The 22,466-nt window shown below is 49.5% G+C and overlaps 1 protein-coding gene and 1 pseudogene across 1 annotated transcript, besides 9 other annotated features; both read left to right on the top strand.

The window, feature by feature from the left end:
- Positions 2,159–2,218: an enhancer, noted in NCBI's record as "active region_8279". NCBI's record gives its function as "activates an Ori minimal core promoter by ATAC-STARR-seq in GM12878 lymphoblastoid cells {active_cell/tissue: GM12878}" and the evidence as "EXISTENCE:reporter gene assay evidence [ECO:0000049][PMID:35858748]".
- Positions 3,800–4,671: an enhancer, noted in NCBI's record as "H3K27ac hESC enhancer chr14:35873941-35874812 (GRCh37/hg19 assembly coordinates)". NCBI's record gives its function as "activates a minimal SCP1, AML or CMV promoter by ChIP-STARR-seq in naive H9 embryonic stem cells {active_cell/tissue: H9 hESC(naive)}" and the evidence as "EXISTENCE:reporter gene assay evidence [ECO:0000049][PMID:30033119]".
- Positions 4,196–4,595: an enhancer, noted in NCBI's record as "active region_8278". NCBI's record gives its function as "activates an Ori minimal core promoter by ATAC-STARR-seq in GM12878 lymphoblastoid cells {active_cell/tissue: GM12878}" and the evidence as "EXISTENCE:reporter gene assay evidence [ECO:0000049][PMID:35858748]".
- On the top strand, positions 4,657–7,893 carry NFKBIA (NFKB inhibitor alpha). Its single transcript, NM_020529.3, has 6 exons — positions 4,657–4,988; positions 5,608–5,716; positions 6,046–6,256; positions 6,547–6,635; positions 6,743–7,012; positions 7,346–7,893. Exons 1-6 carry the CDS (start codon positions 4,762–4,764, stop codon positions 7,391–7,393), a joined length of 954 nt encoding a protein of 317 aa, NP_065390.1. The 5' UTR covers positions 4,657–4,761; the 3' UTR covers positions 7,394–7,893.
- Positions 4,666–4,835: a silencer, noted in NCBI's record as "silent region_5676". NCBI's record gives its function as "represses an Ori minimal core promoter by ATAC-STARR-seq in GM12878 lymphoblastoid cells {active_cell/tissue: GM12878}" and the evidence as "EXISTENCE:reporter gene assay evidence [ECO:0000049][PMID:35858748]".
- Positions 4,986–5,575: a silencer, noted in NCBI's record as "silent region_5675". NCBI's record gives its function as "represses an Ori minimal core promoter by ATAC-STARR-seq in GM12878 lymphoblastoid cells {active_cell/tissue: GM12878}" and the evidence as "EXISTENCE:reporter gene assay evidence [ECO:0000049][PMID:35858748]".
- Positions 5,776–5,825: an enhancer, noted in NCBI's record as "active region_8277". NCBI's record gives its function as "activates an Ori minimal core promoter by ATAC-STARR-seq in GM12878 lymphoblastoid cells {active_cell/tissue: GM12878}" and the evidence as "EXISTENCE:reporter gene assay evidence [ECO:0000049][PMID:35858748]".
- Positions 5,856–6,165: an enhancer, noted in NCBI's record as "active region_8276". NCBI's record gives its function as "activates an Ori minimal core promoter by ATAC-STARR-seq in GM12878 lymphoblastoid cells {active_cell/tissue: GM12878}" and the evidence as "EXISTENCE:reporter gene assay evidence [ECO:0000049][PMID:35858748]".
- Positions 6,416–7,289: an enhancer, noted in NCBI's record as "H3K4me1 hESC enhancer chr14:35871323-35872196 (GRCh37/hg19 assembly coordinates)". NCBI's record gives its function as "activates a minimal SCP1, AML or CMV promoter by ChIP-STARR-seq in primed H9 embryonic stem cells {active_cell/tissue: H9 hESC(primed)}" and the evidence as "EXISTENCE:reporter gene assay evidence [ECO:0000049][PMID:30033119]".
- Positions 18,109–18,403: a silencer, noted in NCBI's record as "tiled region #12595; HepG2 Repressive non-DNase unmatched - State 4:PromP". NCBI's record gives its function as "represses a minimal TATA promoter and a strong SV40 promoter by Sharpr-MPRA in HepG2 cells {active_cell/tissue: HepG2}" and the evidence as "EXISTENCE:reporter gene assay evidence [ECO:0000049][PMID:27701403]".
- On the top strand, positions 20,263–21,358 carry RPLP0P3 (ribosomal protein lateral stalk subunit P0 pseudogene 3; annotated as a pseudogene).

Raw genomic sequence — 22,466 nt, 5'->3', positions numbered from 1 at the left:
TCACCCTCTCAAAGTGTTGGGATTGCAGGCATGAGCCACGGAGCTGGGCCAATTTTTTTTATTTCTTTAACAATAGAAGGTCACTACTGAACTGAAGGTGCTACATGCCAAAAGTTGTCTGAGCTAAGTATGAGGGAAGTACACACCCTGACCTAAGCTGTTGGAGATCCCACTCCTTTCAGACTCAAATGGTCTGTTTCACTCATCTGTGAAATCTGCCTGCTCCCTATGCGTAAGTATTTTGAGTTTGAGATCCTTTAAAGCTTTGATCTCCATTAAATTGCAGAATTTGTAGCAAAGGAAACACATTAAGGATTTGACGGTCTTATTTTCACTTCACTACAAATGAAGGTTCTGACAGCTGTTTTTCCTTTTTTTTTTTTTTAATTGAGACAGAGTCTCTCTCTGCTGCCCAGGCAGGAGTGCAATGGCACGATCTCAGCTCACTGCAACCTTCACCTCCCAGGGTCAAGTGATTCTCCTGCCTCAGCCTCCCGAGTAGCTGGGATTACAGGCATGTGCCATCACGCCTGGCTAATTTTTGTATTTTGAGTAGAGATGGGGTTTCACCATGTTGGCCGGGCTGGTCTTGAACTCCTGACCTCAGGTGATCAGCTCGCCTCAGCCTCCCAAAGTGCTGGGATTATAGGTCGGAGCCACCGCCCCCAGCCTTGTTTTTCTATGGGAAAAGATCCATAGCTTGGGGGCTCCCTGTTCTGAAGAGGATGCAGACAGTTGCTACCACGATAGCAAGAAAGAAGACAACCTGAGACTGAAAGCAGAATATTTAGAATTTCACAGTGGGGCTGCCAGTTGGGAGTGCACCTGCCTTGCTCTTCAGGAACTCTGTCATGGCTCGTCTTTCTTCCAGCCTAGCTGCACTGAGCAATAGGTAGCCTGATTCCAGAGTTGAATTTGCTGTAGCCAAAACAATTTAGTTTTAATTGGCCAGGCCAGTTGACACAGGCCACCCTGCCCTGAGGATTTTGGACCACCTGGCTGAACTTGTAGACTCTCTCCATGGCACTTCAGGCAATAGGTTTTGTCCATACTGTGCTTGTTCCATGCAGGAGGAGTGCCTGAAGTGCCTGCAGCCAAACCAGGCCCTGGCGATGCTCCTTTTCCCATGGGGGTGCTCCTGGAGCATCACTGGCCGTCCTGTCATTTCCTACGGCTGCGTCCTGGGCCAAAATACAAAGCAGCTTTGAGGTGTAACTTATTATTTTGCCTTATGCATTAAAAAGGCCAAATAACATTAAAAATCAGTTATCTAAAGTATTTTGTTTTGTTTTGTTTTGTTTTTTGAGACAGAGTCTCACCCTGTTGCCCAGGCTGGCGTGCAATGGCGCGATCTCGGCTCACTGCAACCTCTGCCTCCTCGGTTCAAGTGATTCTCCTGCCTCAGCCTCCTAAGCAGCATCTGCACCACCACACCCGACTAATTTTTTGTATCTTTAGTAGAGACGGGGTTTCATCATGTTGGCCAGGCTGGTCTCGAACTCCTGACCTCATGATCCACCTGCCTCAGCCTCCCAAAGTGCTGAGATTATAGGCGTGAGCCACTGCGCACAGCCTACAGTTTTAACATTTTTTTTAACGGTTATGTTAGCTAGAATGTTTGACAATGAGGAGGAGAAAAATCTGAGTGCTGAAGGGTCCATAAAGGTCTTTCTTTTTCTTTTTTTTCTTTTTGAGACAGGGTCTCAGTCTGTTGCTCAAGCTGGAGTGCAGTTGTGCCATCATGGCTCACTACAAACTCCACCTCCCAGGCTCAAGCAATTCTCCCACTTCTGCCTCTGGAGTAGCTGGGACTACAGGCACCTGCCACCACACTCTGCTAATTATATTTTTTGTAGAGACAAGAGTTTAGCCTTGTTGCCCAGGCTGGTCTCCAACTCCTGGGTGGCAAGCAATCCTCCTGCCTCAGCAACCCAAAGTGCTGAAATTACAGCAGTGAGCCACAACTCCTGGCCCATAAAGGTCTTTCTAAATCAAAACCAGACCCTCTTGTTGTCTTCTGCCCAGTCTGCTCATGGTTCTAATTTCCAAGTGTATATTCTTTTTCACCCACGTTGTAATGTTTGTTGACTTAAACCATATAGCGCTATAGATGATGGGGAGAAAACCTGTTGGATCACATTATTCAAAACTGTTTCCCAGAGTCGCAGGAAAACAATAGGTACCTCCTTGGAAATCTCCACTGTAGGGACAAGTCATCAAGGCTCAGCACCTCCCAATTTTTGCAAAAGGCACTATGACAAATCAAGGAACGCCTGTGCCTTACTCTTACCACTAGGTGTCACACAAAACAATCAGGAATAAACACCAAGATCCTGAAGGCTACCAGAAATATAAAACCATAGAAGGTGGTGCAAAAAAACCTTATTCCTCAGATATTTTTATTTTTTATAACCATTTTTATACCTGAAGCCAAATATCTTCTTCTGATGTATCCTCTATAATTGGGACATTTAGAGTTTGATGTTTCTGTACTTGTTTAAAAGAAGTGACTATCCCCAGATGGGGGTCAGGGGACACCCACCCTTTATTTTCCCTAACAGTTGGAGTAGAAAATACTTTTGAGTACATTCCAAATTATAGTGTAGTCAGTCTGATTTTCACAGCGTGTTTTCAAAAGTGTTAATACTAAGACTGCTTTGGCCAAATGATTAATATACTGCCAAGGGGTTCCTGGGTAAATTTCTATGCATTTCAGTTTCTTTTTAGGGAAGTAGGAACAATATCTATCTTACAAGATTAGTTCTGAGAACAATGTGGTACATAAGGCGCTGGAATTCTTTCAAAAATTTATACCCTGACATTTCCAAGAGCCATGGTCACCCTTACAAAGGAGAGTTAGGCATGCATTTGTAGACAAGCAATATGACTTTTAAGCTAGAAAAGACCTTAAGTAACATTCAATCTAATCTTATTATAAAAGTTAAGTATACCACAAAAAAGTTAACTGACCTCTCCAACTAATGTGCAGTCAAGTAAAGATAGAACCTGGAATTGAGATGTCCCATTGCAGTCACTGTTTCACCTTGCCTCAATCATTGTAGATTTGCATATCATAAACCTGCAGAGACAATGGTGTCTATCCCTGGGAAGTTTTCATTGTAACATGTGATCATTATTACCCTGGAGGGTCTATCTGATTTTAATTTTTTTCCCTTCATACTTGGTCTCTCTCTATCGAGTCAGATTTCTTTCATTCTAATATTAGGGGAGGGGTGGAGATACGAAGAGAGGGGAAGGATTGGTTAGTACAAGGCCAGTCAAGGTAAAGATGATTGCAATAATCACCAGAAATCTCTGCAGAACTACAGAGGCCTCCTGGGACTAATTCTGAAGAGCTCTGACCGAAGTTTGCTTTATTTTGCCTGTACCAATTCTACCAAGTAGATGAATTCAGTCCATGGCTTGCAGGCTTGGAGGTGGAGGTGGAGTGGAGAGCATAAATTATATTTCTGCAGGTGAAACCAGAGCATAGTGAGCCGAAACCCCTTTCTACCCAGGTGGCGTGAATGGGTCCAACTGCTACTGTCCCCCAGGACAAGAGAGCAAGGAGGGGCGGGCAGGATGGGACTACCTTGAGCCTCCCGCAGGATGCCTGGCAACTACTTTCTTAGTGGTCCTTAAGGTCCAATCGCGGTTAAGGCACTAACTAAACTCATTCTTCAGCCTCCTTCTCTAAGTTCTCCTCGAATTTGGGTGCCCAGAAGTAGGCTCACGATCCTTTTTCTGCGGGAGCACAATGTAGGTCAGATAGCATAAACGAATAGCTACTTATGAACACAATAGCTACTCTGCTATTGCAAGGTATCCACAACCACCACTACAAACATTAACACCTTGCTTTACTTGGGAAACAAAAAAAATCATGGTCCTATTCAGCAGTTTCCCCATACAGGGAGCGTTTGCCCCTCCCCCAGTCAACAGGGCTGTTCATCCCTAGGAAGTGATTTGAGAGTTCTCCAAGGATTTAGGCTTTTCACTCCTCCAAAGCTTTCACAACTTCTACCTGGCGGGGGTGCGTGGGGGGGTGGGGGCGAAGCTAAAAGTTCCTTTGCTGCAAAGAGCCTGGTATAGGCAGAAACACCGGCGCGGCCTGCAGCCCCCTAACCACAGTGCGTCCTTCCCCTTAGAAGTCTGGGGAAAGCAAATCCCTACGCCCAGCCATCATTTCCACTCTTGCGTTTTCAAAAGATCAAAAAACGGAAAGGACCGGCAGGTTGGCAAACCCCAAAGAGGGACCGCCCATCAGGTCGGCGTCCTTGGGATCTCAGCAGCCGACGACCCCAATTCAAATCGATCGTGGGAAACCCCAGGGAAAGAAGGCTCACTTGCAGAGGGACAGGATTACAGGGTGCAGGCTGCAGGGAAGTACCGGGGGGAGGGGGCCTGGTCGGAAGGACTTTCCAGCCACTCGGCGCTCATCAAAAAGTTCCCTGTCCGTGACCCTAGTGGCTCATCGCAGGGAGTTTCTCCGATGAACCCCAGCTCAGGGTTTAGGCTTCTTTTTCCCCCTAGCAGAGGACGAAGCCAGTTCTCTTTTTCTGGTCTGACTGGCTTGGAAATTCCCCGAGCCTGACCCCGCCCCAGAGAAATCCCCAGCCAGCGTTTATAGGGCGCCGCGGCGGCGCTGCAGAGCCCACAGCAGTCCGTGCCGCCGTCCCGCCCGCCAGCGCCCCAGCGAGGAAGCAGCGCGCAGCCCGCGGCCCAGCGCACCCGCAGCAGCGCCCGCAGCTCGTCCGCGCCATGTTCCAGGCGGCCGAGCGCCCCCAGGAGTGGGCCATGGAGGGCCCCCGCGACGGGCTGAAGAAGGAGCGGCTACTGGACGACCGCCACGACAGCGGCCTGGACTCCATGAAAGACGAGGAGTACGAGCAGATGGTCAAGGAGCTGCAGGAGATCCGCCTCGAGCCGCAGGAGGTGCCGCGCGGCTCGGAGCCCTGGAAGCAGCAGCTCACCGAGGACGGGGACTCGTAAGTGGCGGAGGCCCGGGGCTGGGGGTCGTCGGGAGGGCGGGACGCGCGCGGCCTGGGGGTGGGAGGCGCCGGGCCTGGAGCCCGAGCCGGGGGACCAGCGATGCAGCCGGGCGGGCGCCGCGGCACCCCGGGGCTCCTGCACCGCCCCGAACGCTGCAGGGCTGCAGGGCCGCGCGGGGCACCGGCCCAACTCGGAGGGGCGGCGGCTGGGCCCTGGTGGATGGCAGCGTCGCCACACGCCCCCTCCCCCCAGACCCGTCCTCTAGGCCGGGGGCGGGGCGGCAGCGGGGACGCGAAGTCCCCGGTTGCATAAGGCGGGGCGGGAGTTTCTGGCCGCTGGCGGGCGCCGAGCAGCCGGGAGGGGAAGTACAGGGCGTTCCGAGCTGGCGGGAGGGCGGGGCGGTCTGGCCGGCGCCCGCCGGGGCCGCGGGGGGAGGGGGGCGGAAAGTCCCTGGGCGCCTGCCAGGAACACTCAGCTCATAATAACCTCGCGGAAAACACCGCGGCCTCGGCCTCCAGAAACCCCGGCCTTGCGCAATCCCCCGCAGCCCGCGCCTCCCTGGGCCCCACGCGGTGCACTCACCACCCCTGGGGTTTTTCCCTCTCTTCCCCACAGGTTCCTGCACTTGGCCATCATCCATGAAGAAAAGGCACTGACCATGGAAGTGATCCGCCAGGTGAAGGGAGACCTGGCCTTCCTCAACTTCCAGAACAACCTGCAGCAGGTGCGCCGCTTGCCTGGCCCGGGTTCTCTCTGACCCTGGGACGTAGCTGATGTAGCAGAGTCACCCCAGATCCTTTCTGAATTCAGGGCCACTGAGCACTATTTACCCTCACCTTTTACTTCACATCAGCCCACATCCTAGAGAGTGAAGGAAATTCCACTGATTTGGTGAGGTCTTTATGACCCACCTGGAGCCTCTGCTATTTGCCAGCCCTCCCCACCCCCCTGTCTAGGAGGAGCAGCACCCAACCAGGAGACACGGGTTGAGGGGAACTCGGGGTGTGGGTTTGGTCCATGGCTTACTTTCTCTGGTCTCTCTTGCATTCGTAGACTCCACTCCACTTGGCTGTGATCACCAACCAGCCAGAAATTGCTGAGGCACTTCTGGGAGCTGGCTGTGATCCTGAGCTCCGAGACTTTCGAGGAAATACCCCCCTACACCTTGCCTGTGAGCAGGGCTGCCTGGCCAGCGTGGGAGTCCTGACTCAGTCCTGCACCACCCCGCACCTCCACTCCATCCTGAAGGCTACCAACTACAATGGTATGTCTGCCTCCCTGCCCTGCCCCACCCCCTCGGAGGGCAGGTGACGTGGAGAAGGGGCAGGTGGGCCAACTTAAGGAGTCCAGGCAAGAGCTTAAACTCCTAACATTTGGAAGGTTGAGAAAATATGTGTGCAAAGTGCCTATTGGATGCCTTTATAAAGTTCTTTCAGAACCCAGACTGTGGGTTCTTAAAATTCAGAAGATAAGACTACTTGTTCCATAAAAGAATAGGTGAAAGGAGTGAGGGTTGAAACAGGTGGTTATACTTTTTTCCTTTTGTTCTTCCAGGCCACACGTGTCTACACTTAGCCTCTATCCATGGCTACCTGGGCATCGTGGAGCTTTTGGTGTCCTTGGGTGCTGATGTCAATGCTCAGGTTGGTGCTTCCTGCCCCCGACGCACTGAGTCAGGCTCCTCGTGCTTATGTTGTGAGCAGAAATTCCAAATGCAGCCATAAGCATCTCAAATTCCTTTTGGTTTCAGGAGCCCTGTAATGGCCGGACTGCCCTTCACCTCGCAGTGGACCTGCAAAATCCTGACCTGGTGTCACTCCTGTTGAAGTGTGGGGCTGATGTCAACAGAGTTACCTACCAGGGCTATTCTCCCTACCAGCTCACCTGGGGCCGCCCAAGCACCCGGATACAGCAGCAGCTGGGCCAGCTGACACTAGAAAACCTTCAGATGCTGCCAGAGAGTGAGGATGAGGAGAGCTATGACACAGAGTCAGAGTTCACGGAGTTCACAGAGGACGAGGTGAGTCTGTGAACTCCTTCGGCGCTCTAACTAATGAGGTGCCATTCCCTTCACCCTCCCAGGCCCCTAGAGCTGCTCCTTATCAGAGGGGTATCTACATAATGAGTCTCTCAAATTTCTGTGCATAACCAGTATCCCAAGAATGTACCTGCCCCCCCTCTTTTTTTAAAGAGAAGCATTAAAGGCAAACTCTCTCAGCCTGTAAAGTTCATTATATTTGGGCTATGGAGAATGGAGTCCAAGAGTTATTTCCAGTAGTGGCCTCCCCATCCCGGTAGCTTGGCAGAGCTCCGCTCCGGAAGCTTAACGTGTCTTTTTTCCCCTTGTTTTCAGCTGCCCTATGATGACTGTGTGTTTGGAGGCCAGCGTCTGACGTTATGAGCGCAAAGGGGCTGAAAGAACATGGACTTGTATATTTGTACAAAAAAAAAGTTTTATTTTTCTAAAAAAAGAAAAAAGAAGAAAAAATTTAAAGGGTGTACTTATATCCACACTGCACACTGCCTGGCCCAAAACGTCTTATTGTGGTAGGATCAGCCCTCATTTTGTTGCTTTTGTGAACTTTTTGTAGGGGACGAGAAAGATCATTGAAATTCTGAGAAAACTTCTTTTAAACCTCACCTTTGTGGGGTTTTTGGAGAAGGTTATCAAAAATTTCATGGAAGGACCACATTTTATATTTATTGTGCTTCGAGTGACTGACCCCAGTGGTATCCTGTGACATGTAACAGCCAGGAGTGTTAAGCGTTCAGTGATGTGGGGTGAAAAGTTACTACCTGTCAAGGTTTGTGTTACCCTCCTGTAAATGGTGTACATAATGTATTGTTGGTAATTATTTTGGTACTTTTATGATGTATATTTATTAAACAGATTTTTACAAATGAGTTATCCTGATCATTTTCTTCAGGCTGCCGTGGGCCTCCGGTTCTGAAGTTCCATCCTCCGGCAGAGGTGGAGGTGGAGCAGTGTGAGGGAGGAGGTAACTCCCAGCAGCTTCTCACACCTGACACCCAGCCTCCAGCAAAGCTTTGCAGGCACCCTGGGCCCAGTGTGTGGGAGGGAGGCTGTTGCAAGGTTATAGGAAATTACCAATCTCAGGCTTGGGGTGGAAGCATGCTGTTTGGCCTGTGGTTGGAGACCTCTCCGTTGTCATTCTGTCATCCCGTTGATTTAAACTTCCTGGACCCTAATTGCCAGTTGAGGAAATTATTTTGGCCAAGAAGAATATGCTGAATTCATATAGAGCTGGGAAAGATCTCACTAATACAGGAAGTTCCTAAGGACATAGGCTCAGAAATGGGACTGCACTGACATTTGTTAGCAGATGCTCACCTCTGAGCCTCAGTTTTCTCATTTATTAGCTGGGCTGTTGTGAAAATTACATAAGACAATCCACGTAAAATGCATAGCAGAGCGGCAGGCACGTAGTGCTAAAGAAAAACAAGCTGTTACGCAACGTTCTTTATGTCATACCAGGAGAAACAAGTCCAGAGAGAATGTCCTGTCTAGGGTCACCTTGCAGGAGAAATAGGTGGTTAACATATTTCATACGTGCTCGTTTTGGGGTAAACATCTTTTAAGAGCATTCCATCTCTTAAATCTATGTGTTATTGGCTGTAGTAGAAAAGTAATAAAGGCTTGAAGGGTCTTATCAGTTCAGTCTACTGATTGTACTGGACGATTCTACAGGAGCAAATGTCACAAGAAACCAGTAATGTGAAACTTGGCTTAGATGCTCTATCTTGAGGTTTTCATCCCTAAAATGGCTCTCTTGCCTAGGTAGAGAGAAGAATAAAGATGGGTATACTGAAAGCCCAGACTTTACCGCTATACAATATAAAAAATCTGCATTTGTACTCTGTAAACATTTTTATTAAATTTTTGGGGGATAGGGTCTCACTCTGTTGCCCAGGCTGGGGTGCAATTGTGCAATCACAGCTCACTGCAGCCCCAAACTCCTGGGCTCAAGCGATCCTCCCAACTCAGCCTCCTGAGTAGCTGGGACTACAAGCATGCACCACCATGCCTGACTAATTTTATTTGTAGAGACAGGGTTTCTCTATGTTGCCCAGGCTGGTCTGGAACTCCTGGGCTCAAGAGATCCACCCACTATGGCCTCCCAAAGCACTGGGATTACAGGTCTGAGCCACCACACCCAGCCAAAACATTTCTGAGGAAAAAGTAAAGTTATTGCATTCTAGAAAATGCAGAGTAGTGTATAAATGCAATTCATGTCTTTGACTTATACCTAAGAAAAAATTATTACATTATCCCTTTCCTGATCCACAAACGATGTCAAAGTCAAAAGAATATGGTCACCTTGGACCAAAAAGGAGCCAGTATTTAGTGGTCTTCCACATATAAGGAGTGTTACTACAGACTGGTTAAAGCCAATTCTGCCCCAATTCTTTCTCTTTCTTTTTTTTTTTTTTTTTTTTTTTTTGAGATGGAGTCTTGCTCTGTCGCCCAGGCTGGAGTACAGTGGCATGATCTCAGCTCACTGCAACCTCCACCTCCCGGGTTCTAGCGATTCTCTGTGCCTCAGCCTCCCGAGTAGCTGGGATTACAGGTGCCTGCCACCACGCCTGGCTAATTTTTATATTTTTAGTAGAGACAGGGTTTCACCATGTTGCCCAGGCTGGTCTTGAACTCCTGACCTCAGGTGATCTGCCCACCTCAGCCTCCCAAAGTGCTGGAATTTCAGGCGTGAGTCACCGCGCCCAGCTCTGCTCCATTTCTGTAGCCTTAGTCCATCCGGAACCCAGCACTGGCGGTCCCTCTACCAGTCTTATTCTCTGTCAAAGTGCCCGGGTTCTTCCCTGAAATTCCTTGTCCATCCCCAAGCACCTCAACACAGGTGTTAAATGACCTACCACAGGAATTAGGTCAGTTAGGTTCAGCTCTCAGCTAAGTGGGAGAGGTAAGATGGGAGTGGGGTGATATCCCCACCCTCATTCTCAAAAGAACAAAGGTTGGAAACTTGGCTCCCCAATTTTGGAACGATGCCCTTAGTACTTTCTACTCAGTCAAATGTGACTCTTCTTCCCTCTGTAAAGGGGTTAAATTTGTGCCAATTCACCCATACGCTGTCTCTAGTTCTGTGCTAGGTTGTAGAAACAGGACAAAGCTGTGCGCCACCCCCTCATCCCCAGCCTCCTTAGAGCCCAGCTCTTGCATAGGGGCGTCACCCTCCATGGTCAAGCAAGGGTGGGCCCCTTCTCACCCACTTGGGCCCAGTCTCCCACCTTTCTAGGCTTCAGCTTTTCTTCTTTCTAGGTCCTAAACCTTGGAAAAGGTTCTGTCATCTGCATAAATCTCGAGGTAGCTGGGCCCAGTTAAGCACTGAAGGCTGCCCCGGTTCCTTACTCTCTAGCTCTTCTCCCCATTTCTCATCCCCCCCCCCACCTTTTTTTTGTGTGTGTGTGATAGGGTCTCACTCTCTTGCCCAGGCTGGAGTGCAGTGGCATGATCTCGGCTCACTGTAACCTCCGCCTCCTGGGTTCAAGCAATTCTCCTGCCTCAGCCTCCCGAGTAGCTGGGACTACAGGTGCACACCACTACACCCGGCTAATTTTTATATTTTTAGTGGAGATGGGGTTTCGCCGTGTTGGCCAGGCTGGTCTCGAACTCCTGACCTCAAGTGATCCACCTGCCTTGGCCTCCCACAGTCCTGGGATTACAGGTGTGACCCACCACACCCAGCCCTCCCTGCTTTTCTTTTCTTTTTGTTTTAAATTTATTATCTTTCTGTCCTGCCTGTTGGTTGGGTGACTGGAGCCTGGAGTTCCCTAAAGGAAAATTTTAGAAGGGAAACATTCTAATCTGTAGAAAATCTTCAAATTCCTAAGCAAACAAGAGCAAAAGATCTCAAAGTAAACAGGCCAGCAGACGGAGAGTCTTCTTTAATGCACTTTGATTTCCTCCAAGAAGTTACAGATTGTGTGGGGACAGGTAGGACTAAGAGTGCCTAGAGAAAGGGGAAGTGATATGAGGGGGAAATAATATATCACATCAGCAACTTCCTTGAATTCAGTTCCTTGATTCCTTCTGCCTGCCTTATCCATCAGGATACATTTCCTGTAGCGGCCACGTGTACCAAGTCCTTCCAGAAAGTAAGGATTTTTCTTTAAAGAGGGAACAAACTAGTCTGAGCAATCTGAAGACCTTCCCCTGGGGCCTGGAAATTCAGAAGGCTGGGAGCTTGGGTGGATTTGCATGGAAAGTTCAGTTGCTACTGGAAGTGATTAAGTGGTGACAGAATTGAGTCTGTCAGATGGGTCTTCCTTCCCCAAGACTTCCCACCCCCGTACCCACCCACTCCCCCACCCCCAGCTTTCTGCCAGATTTTCATTAACTTGCCTTAAGTGTAGCTGAAATTTCATTTGGCAAGAAAAGTCTGAGTTGTGGAACTCCAGTCTGAAACATGCCCAAGAAACATTCCCCAACCTCTGGTGCCTGGACAAGAATATCCTAGGCTGTTTCCCCATTGAAAGAGAGCATTACAGAAACTGAAACTGGACCTCACCTGTGTTTCCCTCCTAGAGAAGTACGACTCTCCAACCCATTCCTTCATTTGCATCAAAAAGAACTATTCTCCAGGCCTCCTGCCAAGGGCAGGAATAAGAGGAATAAGTCATGGCCTCTGCCCCTAAGAGCTCCTTGCTTAGGTGGAGAGGGAGACAGACAACTGCATGGAAAGGCGTGATGAGATGAAAGCCCATAGCACGGGAGCTGAGCCCAGGCACCAGCGCGGAGTGCAGGTGGGAGAGACGGGACCCGAGCTCATATTCCAGTTAGCTATTTACCTGCCAGTACTATATTATCTTATCCCATGCCCCAAGTGACTGTGGCAGGCACCCTTTTCACAGGGGGCAGGAAGTATGACCCAGCATCAGCCAATCTGAGTCATTGACAAGTAGGACTGGACTCTGAACACTGACATGAAAATAGGGCCAAGGCCCACAAACCGGCCAGCAATCCAGGTAAGTGTGACCAGGTGCGGGGGCTCATGCCTATAATCCCAGCACTTTGAGAAGCTGAGGCAGGAGGATCATTTGAGCCCAGGAGGTCAAGACCAGCCTGGGAAATATAGGGAGAGCCCATCTCTACAAAAAAAAATACATTAAGGCCAGGCACGGTGGCTCACACCTGTAATCCCAGCACTTTGGGAGGCTGAGACAGGCGGATCACCAGAGGTCAGGAGTTTGAGATCAGCCTGGCCAACATGGTGAAACCCCATCTCTACTAAAAATACAAAAAGTAGCCAGGCCTGGTGGTACGTGCCTGTAATCCCAGCTACTTGGGAGACTGAGGCAGGAGAATCACTTGAATCCAGAAGGCAGAGGTTGCAGTGAGTGGAGATCGTGCCATTGCACTCCAGCCTGGGCAACAAGAGTGAAACTCTGTCTCAAAAAACAAAAAAGAAAGAAAGAAAGAAAGTCAGCCTGGGTCACACAGCCAGTAAATGGCAGAGCCAGGCTCTAGGTATATATTCCTAACCTGGGGATAAAGCAGCTTCCAGGCCAGGCACACTGGCTCACTCCTGTTATCCGAGCACTTTGGAAGTCTGAGGTGTGCAGACTGCTTGAGCCCAGGAGTTCGAGACCAGCCTGGACAACACAGTGAAACCCCATCTCTGCAAAAATACAAAAAATTAGCTGGGAGTGGTGGTGCGCACCTGCAGTCCCAGCTTTCATGCACGTCCGTGTGAAGAGACCACCAAACAGGCTTTGTGTGAGCAAAATGGCTGTTTATTTCACCTGGGTGCAGGCGGGCTGAGTCCGAAAAGAGAGTCAGCGAAGGGAGATAGGGGTGGGGCCGTTTTATAGGATTTGGGAAGGTAATGGAAAATTACAGTCAAAGGGGGTTGTTCTCTGGTGGGCAGGGGTGGATCTCACAAAGTACATTCTCAAGGGTGGGGAGAATTACAAAGAACCTTCTTAAGGGTGGGGGAGACTACAAAGTACCTTCTTAAGGGTGGGGGAGATTACAAAGTACATTGATCAGTTAGGGTGGGGCAGGAACAAATCACAATGGTGGAATGTCATCAGTTGAGGCTGTTTTTACTTCTTTTGTGGATCTTCAGTTACTTCAGGCCATCTGGATGTATACGTGCAAGTCACAGGGGATGCGACGGCCTGGCCTGGGCTCAGAGGCCTGACACCAGCTACTCAGGAGGCTGAGGCGGTAAGATTGCTTGAGCCCAGGAGGTGGAGGTTGCAGTGAGCCAAGATGGTGCCAGCCCGGGCAACAGAGCAAAGCCCAGTCAGGGAAAAAAAAAAAAAAAAAAAAGCAGCAGCTACCAAGCACACACAGGAATTAACAAAAGTGTTTTCAGGTCATCAATCGTCAATATGTTCCTTATGTATCTGTTGCTATACTACCAAAACTGGGCAAATATTACAAAGGATGGTTTGAATTTCTGATGTTTTATGTTAATGGAAATACTGTCTCATGGAAACTATATAATAATGCAGAAAATGCAAGTTCTGAGACCTCAGGAGACCCCAGTAAACTGAACAATCCTGTGGGACTCAGACAGGTATCCTACTTCATCTTCTCTGAAATCTTTTTTTTTTTTTTTGAGACAGAGTCTCACTCTGTCGCCCAGCCTGGAGTGCAGCGGAGCGATCTCGGCTCACTGCAAACTCCGCCTCCTGGGTTCACGCCCTTCTCCTGCCTCAGCCTCCGGAATTGCTGGGACTACAGGTGCCCACCACCACACCAGGCTAATTTTTTGTATTTTTAGTAGACACCAGGTTTCGCCGTGTTAGCCAGGATGGTTTCGATCTCCTAACCTCGTGATCCGCCCGCCTCGGCCTCCCAAAGTACTGGGATTACAGACTTGAGCCACCGCGCCCGGCTGAAATCTTTACTATTGTTTCATAAGGTGCTAAATTAAGGAAGTGAGGCGCGTCTACTTCCAGGAGTTTCCAGTTGTGTGGTCTGGGTTTGGTTCTCACCGAGGCTCAGGTCTACCCAAAGTCACCACATTAAACATTTTGGTCAGACTTTTAAAAACTTAACAGTATTTTAATATTCATCTCTGGGGATGCCCCAAACAAACAAGCAAATGCAACTTTTTTTTTTTTTTTTTTTTTTTTTTTTGAGACGGAGTCTTGCTCTGTCGCCCAGGCTAGAGTGCGGTGGCGCTATCTCTGCTCACTGCAAGTTCCATCTCCCGGGTTCACGCCATTCCGAGTAGCTGGGACTACAGGTGCCCGCCACCACACCCGGCTAATTTTTTTTTGTATTTTTAGGAGAGGTGGGGTGTCACCATATTCGCCAGGATGGTCTCGATCTCCTGACCTTGTGATCTGCCTGCCTCGGCCTCCCAAAGTGCTGGGATTACAGGCGTGAGCTACCGCGCCCAGCCGCAAATGCAACTTTTTAAGGATCAATGAATGAACTTCTTTCAGGTGAAGTGTTTTAATACCAACTTAGTTTCAAGTTGATTTTTAACATTCTCCTTCGCAGGCCTTCCCACCTCCGTCATTGAGAGGCAATTTCCCAAGGCAGGACCTTGCCACGTGGCCCACTGTATGTTTCCTAGCTACTGGACAGCTGGCTCTATAGACTCTTCCGTGTACATAAATTCAGTCATTCTTTTCTCAAAACACAGAGTAAACCTCTGGTTTGAAAGAGAGACTCAAGCCTTGGACACACAAATATCCTGCAATCTACAAGTCAAACGGGAGTGGAAGCTTTCATTTCTTAGAGGCTAGAACCGGGAATAACAGTACCCCCAGCAGACTGACCATGAAGGGTTCTGTCTGTGTGTGCACAACTTCCCAGGCCTGAAATGTGTGCAGCAAGGATGTCCTCAAGGGGCTCTTGTGCACGTTGCCCTCTACCCATGGTCCCCACAGCGGGACCAGCTCCACACACAGGGAAGAATGGAAAGGACACCCAGAGCCAACCTGGCCCTGGGACCTCCCCTCCTGGCTTTCACGGCTCCTCAGATTGGGTCAGTCACACCGAAAGGACTTTCTGGAAGGAGCGCACCAGAATTTCTGTTCTGGGAAGATGGTGGAAGGCAGAGCTGAGTTCATTGCTTATGGAGGGGAGAGAATAGCCCCTGCACAGAGCCTCCATCGCGGCTGCCAGGGGAAGTGGAGAGGCTAGGATCTCACTGAGAATTTCAAGATTGGTTTAAGGAGGGCCTTTCAATGCAGGGGCTTGCTTGGGATTGGGGGAGATAATGATACAGTAGTTTCAGGTTGGTGGCAACAGCTAGGCGAGGGGTTTGAAATGTCTTAGGTGTGAAATGTCTGTTGATGCTTCTATTAAATAAAGCTCGCCTATTGAAGAGTTGATGGGCCTCTTGGGAAATTCCTGTAATAAACAATGAAGTTATTTGCCTGGGCAAGAGACTCTTGGAATAGTAAAGTTATTGTACCAAAGACAGTGGGAGAAAAAAAGTCATGTTAATGCAGACAATAAACTTGGAGGTGGAAGGGGATAGTTTCTGCCTCAATCTGACTAGTCATTAGGCCTAAAGACCTGAGGGCTAGGACACATGTCAAGTATCTTTCAACACATTTAAAAAGTTAAAAATTCAGGAAATGGACCCACGACAATGTTGGAGGTCTGCTAAGCAGGACAGGGAGCATGGAGGAGGGGTGCATTAAAAAACAAGCCTCGGGCCAGTCTGGGTGGCTCACGCCTGTAATCCCAGTGCTTTGGGAGGGCGAGGCAGGCGGATCACAAGGTCAGGAGATCGAAACCATCCTGGCTAACACGGTGAAACCCCGTCTCTACTTAAAAAAAGACAACAAATTAGCTGGGCTTGGTGGCGGGCGCCTGTAATCCCCGCCACTTGGGAGGCTGAGGCAGGAGAATCGCTTGAACCCAGGAGGCGGAGGTTGCGGTGAGCTGAGATCCACCACTGCACTCCAGCCTGGGCGACAGAGCGAGACTCGGTCTCAAAAAACAAACAAACAAAAAAACAAGCCTTACCTGTTTTAGAATCTCACCTATCACTGACGAGCCTTAGCTCCAATCCCATCACACTATAATTCACACTGCAGAGGACCCAGCTAATCCAGCTATGGGTGAATAATAATGGTAGTAGGTGTCATTTATGAAACAATGACTATATGCCAGGCATATGTGATCATCACAGGGGGACATTATTGAGGAAACCAAGGTTCAAAGAGGCTTGGTAACTTGTCTGAGGTGATGAAACCAAGAAAAGTGGCCATTCTGGGACTCAAACCTGCTCCCTTTGGCTCCAAAGCTCTTTGTTCCCAGACTGGTCAGGGTGAGCCTCCTCATTTTACTGAAGATGTTCAAGGCTTCTCAACAGCTGCCATTTTCCAGTGCAGCTGGTGTTAATCTTACATGGCCCTGGCCACCAAATAAACTTATTTTACTCTGAGAAGTCATTTGCTACTGTTTCTATTGTGTAAAATTTTTCTCATAGGAAACATTGAAAAGATACCTCATAGGAGTGTGTGAAAAGTAAGTGACAGATGCTGTAAGTCCATAGGAAATGGCATGAGCACAGCTGTCTTAGACTGTTCAGGCTGCTACAGCCGAATTCCATAGACTGGGTTGCTTATGAACAATAGAAATTTATTTCTCCGGCTGGGCGTGGTGGCTCACCCCTGTAATCCCAGCACTTTGGGAGGCCAGGGTGGGCAGATCACGAGGTCAGGAGTTCAAGACCAGCCTGGCCAACATGGTGAAACCCTGTCTCTACTAAAGATACAAAAAATTAGCCGGGCATGGTGGCACGAGCCTATAATCCCAGCTATTTGGGAGGCTGAAGCAGGAGAAGTGCTTGAACCTGGGAGGCGGAGGTTGCAGTGATCCGAGATCGCACCATTGCACTCCAGCCTGGGTGACAGGGCAAGACTCTGTCTCAAAAAGAAAAAAAAAAAAAGAAAGAAAGAAATTTATTTTGCCACAGTTTTGGAGGCTGCAAAGTCCAAGATCAAGATGCTAGCAGATTCTGTGTCTGGTGAGGGCCAGCTTTTCTATTTGAAGATGAGGCCTTCTTGCTGTGTCTGCACGTGGTGGAAAGGGCCAGCTAGCTTGCTGGGGCTTCTTCTATAAGGGAACTAATCCCATTCAGGAGGGCTCCATCCTTATGACCTAATCACTTCCCAAGGCCCCACCTGACACCATCACCTTGGGGATTCAGATTTCAACATATGGATTTTGAAGGGACACTAACATTCAGTTCATTGTAATAGCCTTAGGTGCCATCTTGACACCCAAGACTTGGCTGCTGGCAAAGAGGCTCCAGGTAGCTCTGGTCCCAGCTCAGGATACTATCCCAGGAGGGTTTTTTTTTCTTTTTTTCATTTTGGAGATAGGGTCTCACTCTGTCACCTAGGCTAGAGTGCAGTGGCACAATCATGGCTCACTGCAGCCTCAGCCTCCTGGGCTTAAATGATCCTCCCACCTCAGCCTTCCGAGTGTGTGGGATCCCAGGTGCATGTCACCAAGCCCAGCTAATTTTTTTTTTTTTTGAGAAAGAGTCTTACTCTGTTGCCCAGGCTGGAGTGCAGTGGCGCAATCTTGGCTCACTGCAACCTCCACCTCCCAGGTTCAAGTGATTCTCCTGCCTCAGCCTCCCGAGTAGCTGGGATTACAGGCATGTGCCACTATGTGCACCTAATTTTTGTATTTTTAGTAGAGATGGGGTTTCACCATGTTGGCCAGGTTGGTCTCGAACTCCTGACCTCAAGTGATCCTCCTGCCTTGGCCTCCCAATGTGCTGGGATTACAAGTGTGAGCCACCACACCCAGCCCTGGGATGGTTTTTGACAGCAGAAACCTACCAGCAAAGGAGAAAAAACTCTGCCTCCTCAGAGGCTGCAGGGAAGCCACGGCTGAGGTAATTGTGTGATTAAGTTTTGAGCCCATTTCCAGCTGACCCACTGGGGTGGAGATGGGTATAGAATGAAGACGCCTGCGAGGCCTGTCTGAGGGGAGACCTGGGAAGGCCAGGTCCTGGGAAGGCCAACAACCAGGAACACCCTGGGTGGCTCTCATGACAGAGACAGCCTTCAGAGCAATCGATCATTCTCCATTGGAGGTTCAGACCAACCTGGCTCCCACTGGAGGCCCTACTCTCTACACCATGTAACCCTGGGCTAGTGGCTTAACCTCTCTGAGACTCAATTCCTCATCTCTAAAGCAGGGTGACCGCAGCTGCCTTGCAGAGTGGCTGTGAGGCTTAGCTATGACTCATGATGTCTGTAAAGCTCTGGCAAAGTGCCAGACACATAGTAGGCACTCAGTAGGTGACAGCTTCAATTAGGATGATTAATTATCACTAATGTGAAGAGCATCTGACAGCCCTCCCTGTAGGCACGTTGTTCCCTGCAAGCCAAAACTTCCTGTTCCCCTACTCATAGGGTGGCCAGGACCTGAGGAACCAGATCCTCTAAGGACAAACTGGAACATCTAGTCTTCCTCTTGACCCTCCCTGACTTTGTCCCTTGCCAGTGGGGAGCCCCCTTCACCAGGCCCTTCCCAGCCTCCAACACCTGCTCAGCGCAGCCCTGACCCACGGGAGCTGCCTTGAGGCTGGGGGGCATGACCCACCAGGTGGAGGCATGAAACGGAGGGCTGTCATGGGCCCACCCCAGGTGCAAGCCTGGAAGGCCCTGGACCTCTGGGAGTCCTCTCAAGTCATGGAAGGTGAGAGAAGCCTCTGCTCCTGTGGTCAGCAGTGGGCCAGGTGGCAGATCGCTGACGGTAATGGGGATGCAACTCAGTAGGGAAGCCCGACCTGGTTAGAGAGAGATGAACACCCCCTCCTGGGGCCTTGCCTGGAGCCCTCTGTGAGGGGGTCAGCAAATCAGGCAGAACCTTGGGCCCTCAGCCCTCCCCATCCTGCCTCTGTAATGCAGAAAGTGGGCTTTATTATAAATGCTTTCCTTTTCTTCTACCACTGGTGGGAAAGGCGGGGAAGGAGAGAGCCTTGCTCTAGTGGCAGCACTAGCTGGGAGAGAATGAGGGAGGGAGGAAGGCTGCATCCCCGCAAACGCCCCTCCTTGTGCTTTGCTCTTCAGCAGAAGGGGAAAGCTCGACACCGTTAGAATAGTGCAATCCTGGCTGGGCCTGGGGCTCACGCCTGTAATCCCAGCACTTTGGGAGGCCAAGGCAGGTGGATCACCTGAGGTCAGGAGTTTGAGACCAGCCTGGCCAACACAGTGAAACCCCATCTCTACCAAAAATACAAAAATTAGCCTGGCATGGTGGCACGCACCTGTAGTCCCAGCTACTTGGGAGGCTGAGGCAGGAGAATGATTTGAACGGAGGAGGTGGAAATTACAGTGAGCTGAGATCATGCCACTGCACTCCAGCTGGGGGGACTGAGCGAGACTCCTTTTCAAAAAATAAATAAATAGATAAATAAATAAATAAAAGAATAGTGCAATCCTACCAATAAACACACAACCATGCCAACATGTTCTCCCCACCAAGATTCTTGGTTATAAGCCAAAGAAACTAATGCTGGATACTTTGGACAGAAAGGAGATTTGTGGGCCAGGCATGGTGGCTCACGCCTGTAATCCCATGACTTTGGGAGGCCGAGGTGGGTGGATCACTTAAGGTGAGGAGTTCGAGACCATCCTGGCCAACATGACAAAACCCCATCTCTACTAAAAATACAAAAAACTATCCGGTGTGGTGGCGGGCACCTGTAACCCCAGTTACTCAGGAGGGAGGCTGAGGCAGGAGAATCACTTGAACCCAGGAAGTGGAGGTTGCAGTGAGCCGAGATTGTGCGTGAGATTCCGTCTCGACAACAACAACAACAATAACAACAACAAAAAGAGATTTGTGAAGAGGATTTGGGGAAGCCTTAAGATTCTCCGGGTGACCTGGAGAGCAAGAGAGATCCGCTGAGCTCACTCCTGCAGCCGACCTCCCGCAACCCCTCATGCTGTGCCCAGAATGCATACAGGTTTTCCCATTGTTAGCCTCTGATTCAAGGTCTGGGCAGCCTCCGTCAGATGCCACACAAGGGAGGCTGGGAAAGTGATTGTCTTGCATTTGTGCTTCAAGACAGTGCATCCCCTAAACATAGGAAATGGGTTCAGGTGACAAATGTCCCAAGATGTCAACAGCGGTTTTTGCTGGGTGGTTGTCTTCTATGGTGTTTTAAAAAAAGTATTATTTAGAAGTTCAAATATACACAAATGTAGACACAATATTAAAATAGATATCATCTCTAGCTTCGTTATCAGCTCACGGGCAATTGTGATATTGTGAAATATATATTTGGGCCTTCTCTCACCAGGCATCCTCGTGGAAGTGACATCGTGTTGGCCTGCGTGGCCATCCCTGACACACCGCCGTGATGCCCAGGGAAGACAGGGCGACCTGGAAGTCTAACTACTTCCTTAAGATCATCCAGCTTTTGGATAATTATCTGAAATGTTTCATCATGGGAGCAGACACTGTGGGCTCCAAGCAGACACAGTAGATCCACCTGTCCCTCCAAGGGAAGGCCGTGGTGCCAATGGGCAGGAACCCCATGATGCGCAAGGCCACCCAAGGACAACTGGAAAACAGCCCAGCTCTGGAGAAACTGTTGCCTCCTCTGCAGGGGAATGTGGGCTTTGCGTTCACCAAGGAGGACCTCACTGAGGTCAGGGATCTGCTGCTGGCCAATAAGGTGCCAGCTGCCACCCGTGCTGGTGCCATTGGCCCATGTGAAGTCACTGTACCAGCCCAGAACACTGGTCTGGGACCCGAGAAGATTTCTTTTTTCCAGGCTTTAGGCATTACCACTAAAATCTCCAGGGGCACCACTGAAATCCTGAGTGATGTGCAGCTGATCAAGACTGGAGACAGAGTGGGAGCCAGCGAAGCCACACTGCTGAACACGCCGAACATCTCTCCCTTCTCCTTTGGGCTGGTCATCCAGCAGGTGTTCAACAATGGTAGTATCTACAACCCTGAAGTGCTTGACATCACAGAAGAAACTCTGTATTCTGGCTTCCTGGAGGGTGTCCGCAATGTTGCCAGTGTGTCTGCAAACTGGCTACCCACCTGTTGCATCAGTACCCCCTTCTATCATCAGTGGGTACAAAGGATGCCTGGCTCTATCTGTGGAGACTGATTACACCTTCCCGCCTGCTGAAAAGATCAAGACCTTCTTGGCTGATCCATCTGCCTTTGTGGCTGCTGCCCCTGTGGCCACTACCGCCACGGCTGCTCCTGCTGCTGCGGCAGCCCCAACTAAGTTTGAAAACGAGGAGTCGGAGGAGTTGGATGAGGATATGGGATTTGGTCTCTTTGACTAACCACCAAAAAGCAACCAACTCAGCCAGCTTTATTTGCAAAATAAGCAAATAAAGGCTTACATTTTTTTAAAAAAAAGTATGCATATATTTGGTCTTCATCCAGTTTCCTGGCATACAACTCCTAAAATCCTAGAATCTCTAAAGTGACATGCCATTTTCTGTATACGAATGAGTTGACTGTTGGCTGGCCACTCCCAGCAGCTTGCTGGTCACTGGAAAGACCAGGGAAGGATCAGAGGGTTGGGACTTTCAGTCCCACCCCTGCCTAACCTCCAGGGAAGGGAGAGGGGCTGAAGGTCAAGTTGATCACCAATGGCCACGGTTTAATCAATCAGGCCTACGTAATGACGCTTCCATACAAGCCAAAAAGATGGGGTTCAGGGAGCCTCCAAGCAGCTGAACACATGGAGGTTTCTGGAGGGTGATGTGCCCGGGGAGGGCATGGAATCTGCGTGCCCCATTCCACATGCCTGGCCCTGTGCATCTCTTTATCTGCATCCTTTGTAATATCCCTTATCATAAACCGATAATATAAGTAAAGTGTTTATCCGAGTTCTGTGAGCCACTCTAGCAAATTAATTGAACTCAAGGAGAGGGTCTTGGGAACCCAGATTTAAAGCTGTCAGTCAGAATCACAAGCAAAACAACCTGGGGCTCGCGATTAGCGTCTGAAGTCTTGTGGGACTAAGCCTCCAATCCGCGGGATCTGAGGCTGTTTCCTAGGTAGACAGTGTCAGAATTGAGCTGAATTCTGCTGCTTGCTTGGTATATGGGGAGATACCCCCACACATCTGGTCACTGAAGTATCTGTGTTGTTTAGTAAGAAAATAGGGGGAGCACTTTGGTTTGTTTTTTTCCTGTATCCTCAGAGCAATTTTATTTCATTTATACTTTTATCCATCTCCCTCTCCCCATTTCAAAGTAATACAGGAGTTAAGAAATTACTTAGGCAGATAGTGAGGGTAGGGAAGTCCTCGGCAAATTTTCCTTTTAATGAAAAGCAGCCCCAACTTATTTTCCTTTCTAACAAAGAGCAGCCTATAAAATCTAGCTGCAGGGACATAGATGCCAGCAATTGTGCCAATCATGTTCAAGATGGCGGCTCCATCTTCTTTTCTCTTTATCCGCCAGGCGTACAGTAAGGAGCAGACAACATGGCGCTGGTCAACGGGAGAGTTCAT

This window comes from Homo sapiens, chromosome 14, assembly GCF_000001405.40.
Source record: "Homo sapiens chromosome 14, GRCh38.p14 Primary Assembly".
Lineage (NCBI taxonomy): Eukaryota > Metazoa > Chordata > Mammalia > Primates > Hominidae > Homo > Homo sapiens.
Note: the sequence above shows the minus strand (reverse complement) of the source record. Positions and strands in the feature narration are given on the sequence as shown.

Excerpts from the sequence above, each read along its gene's own strand:
- NFKBIA (NM_020529.3), top strand. The coding sequence starts at position 4,762 with ATGTTCCAGGCGGCCGAGCGCCCCCAGGAGTGGGCCATGGAGGGCCCC. Across the intron at positions 4,989-5,607 it reads CTCACCGAGGACGGGGACTC|GTTCCTGCACTTGGCCATCA; the intron begins GTAAGTGGCGGA and ends TCTTCCCCACAG. Across the intron at positions 5,717-6,045 it reads TCCAGAACAACCTGCAGCAG|ACTCCACTCCACTTGGCTGT; the intron begins GTGCGCCGCTTG and ends TTGCATTCGTAG.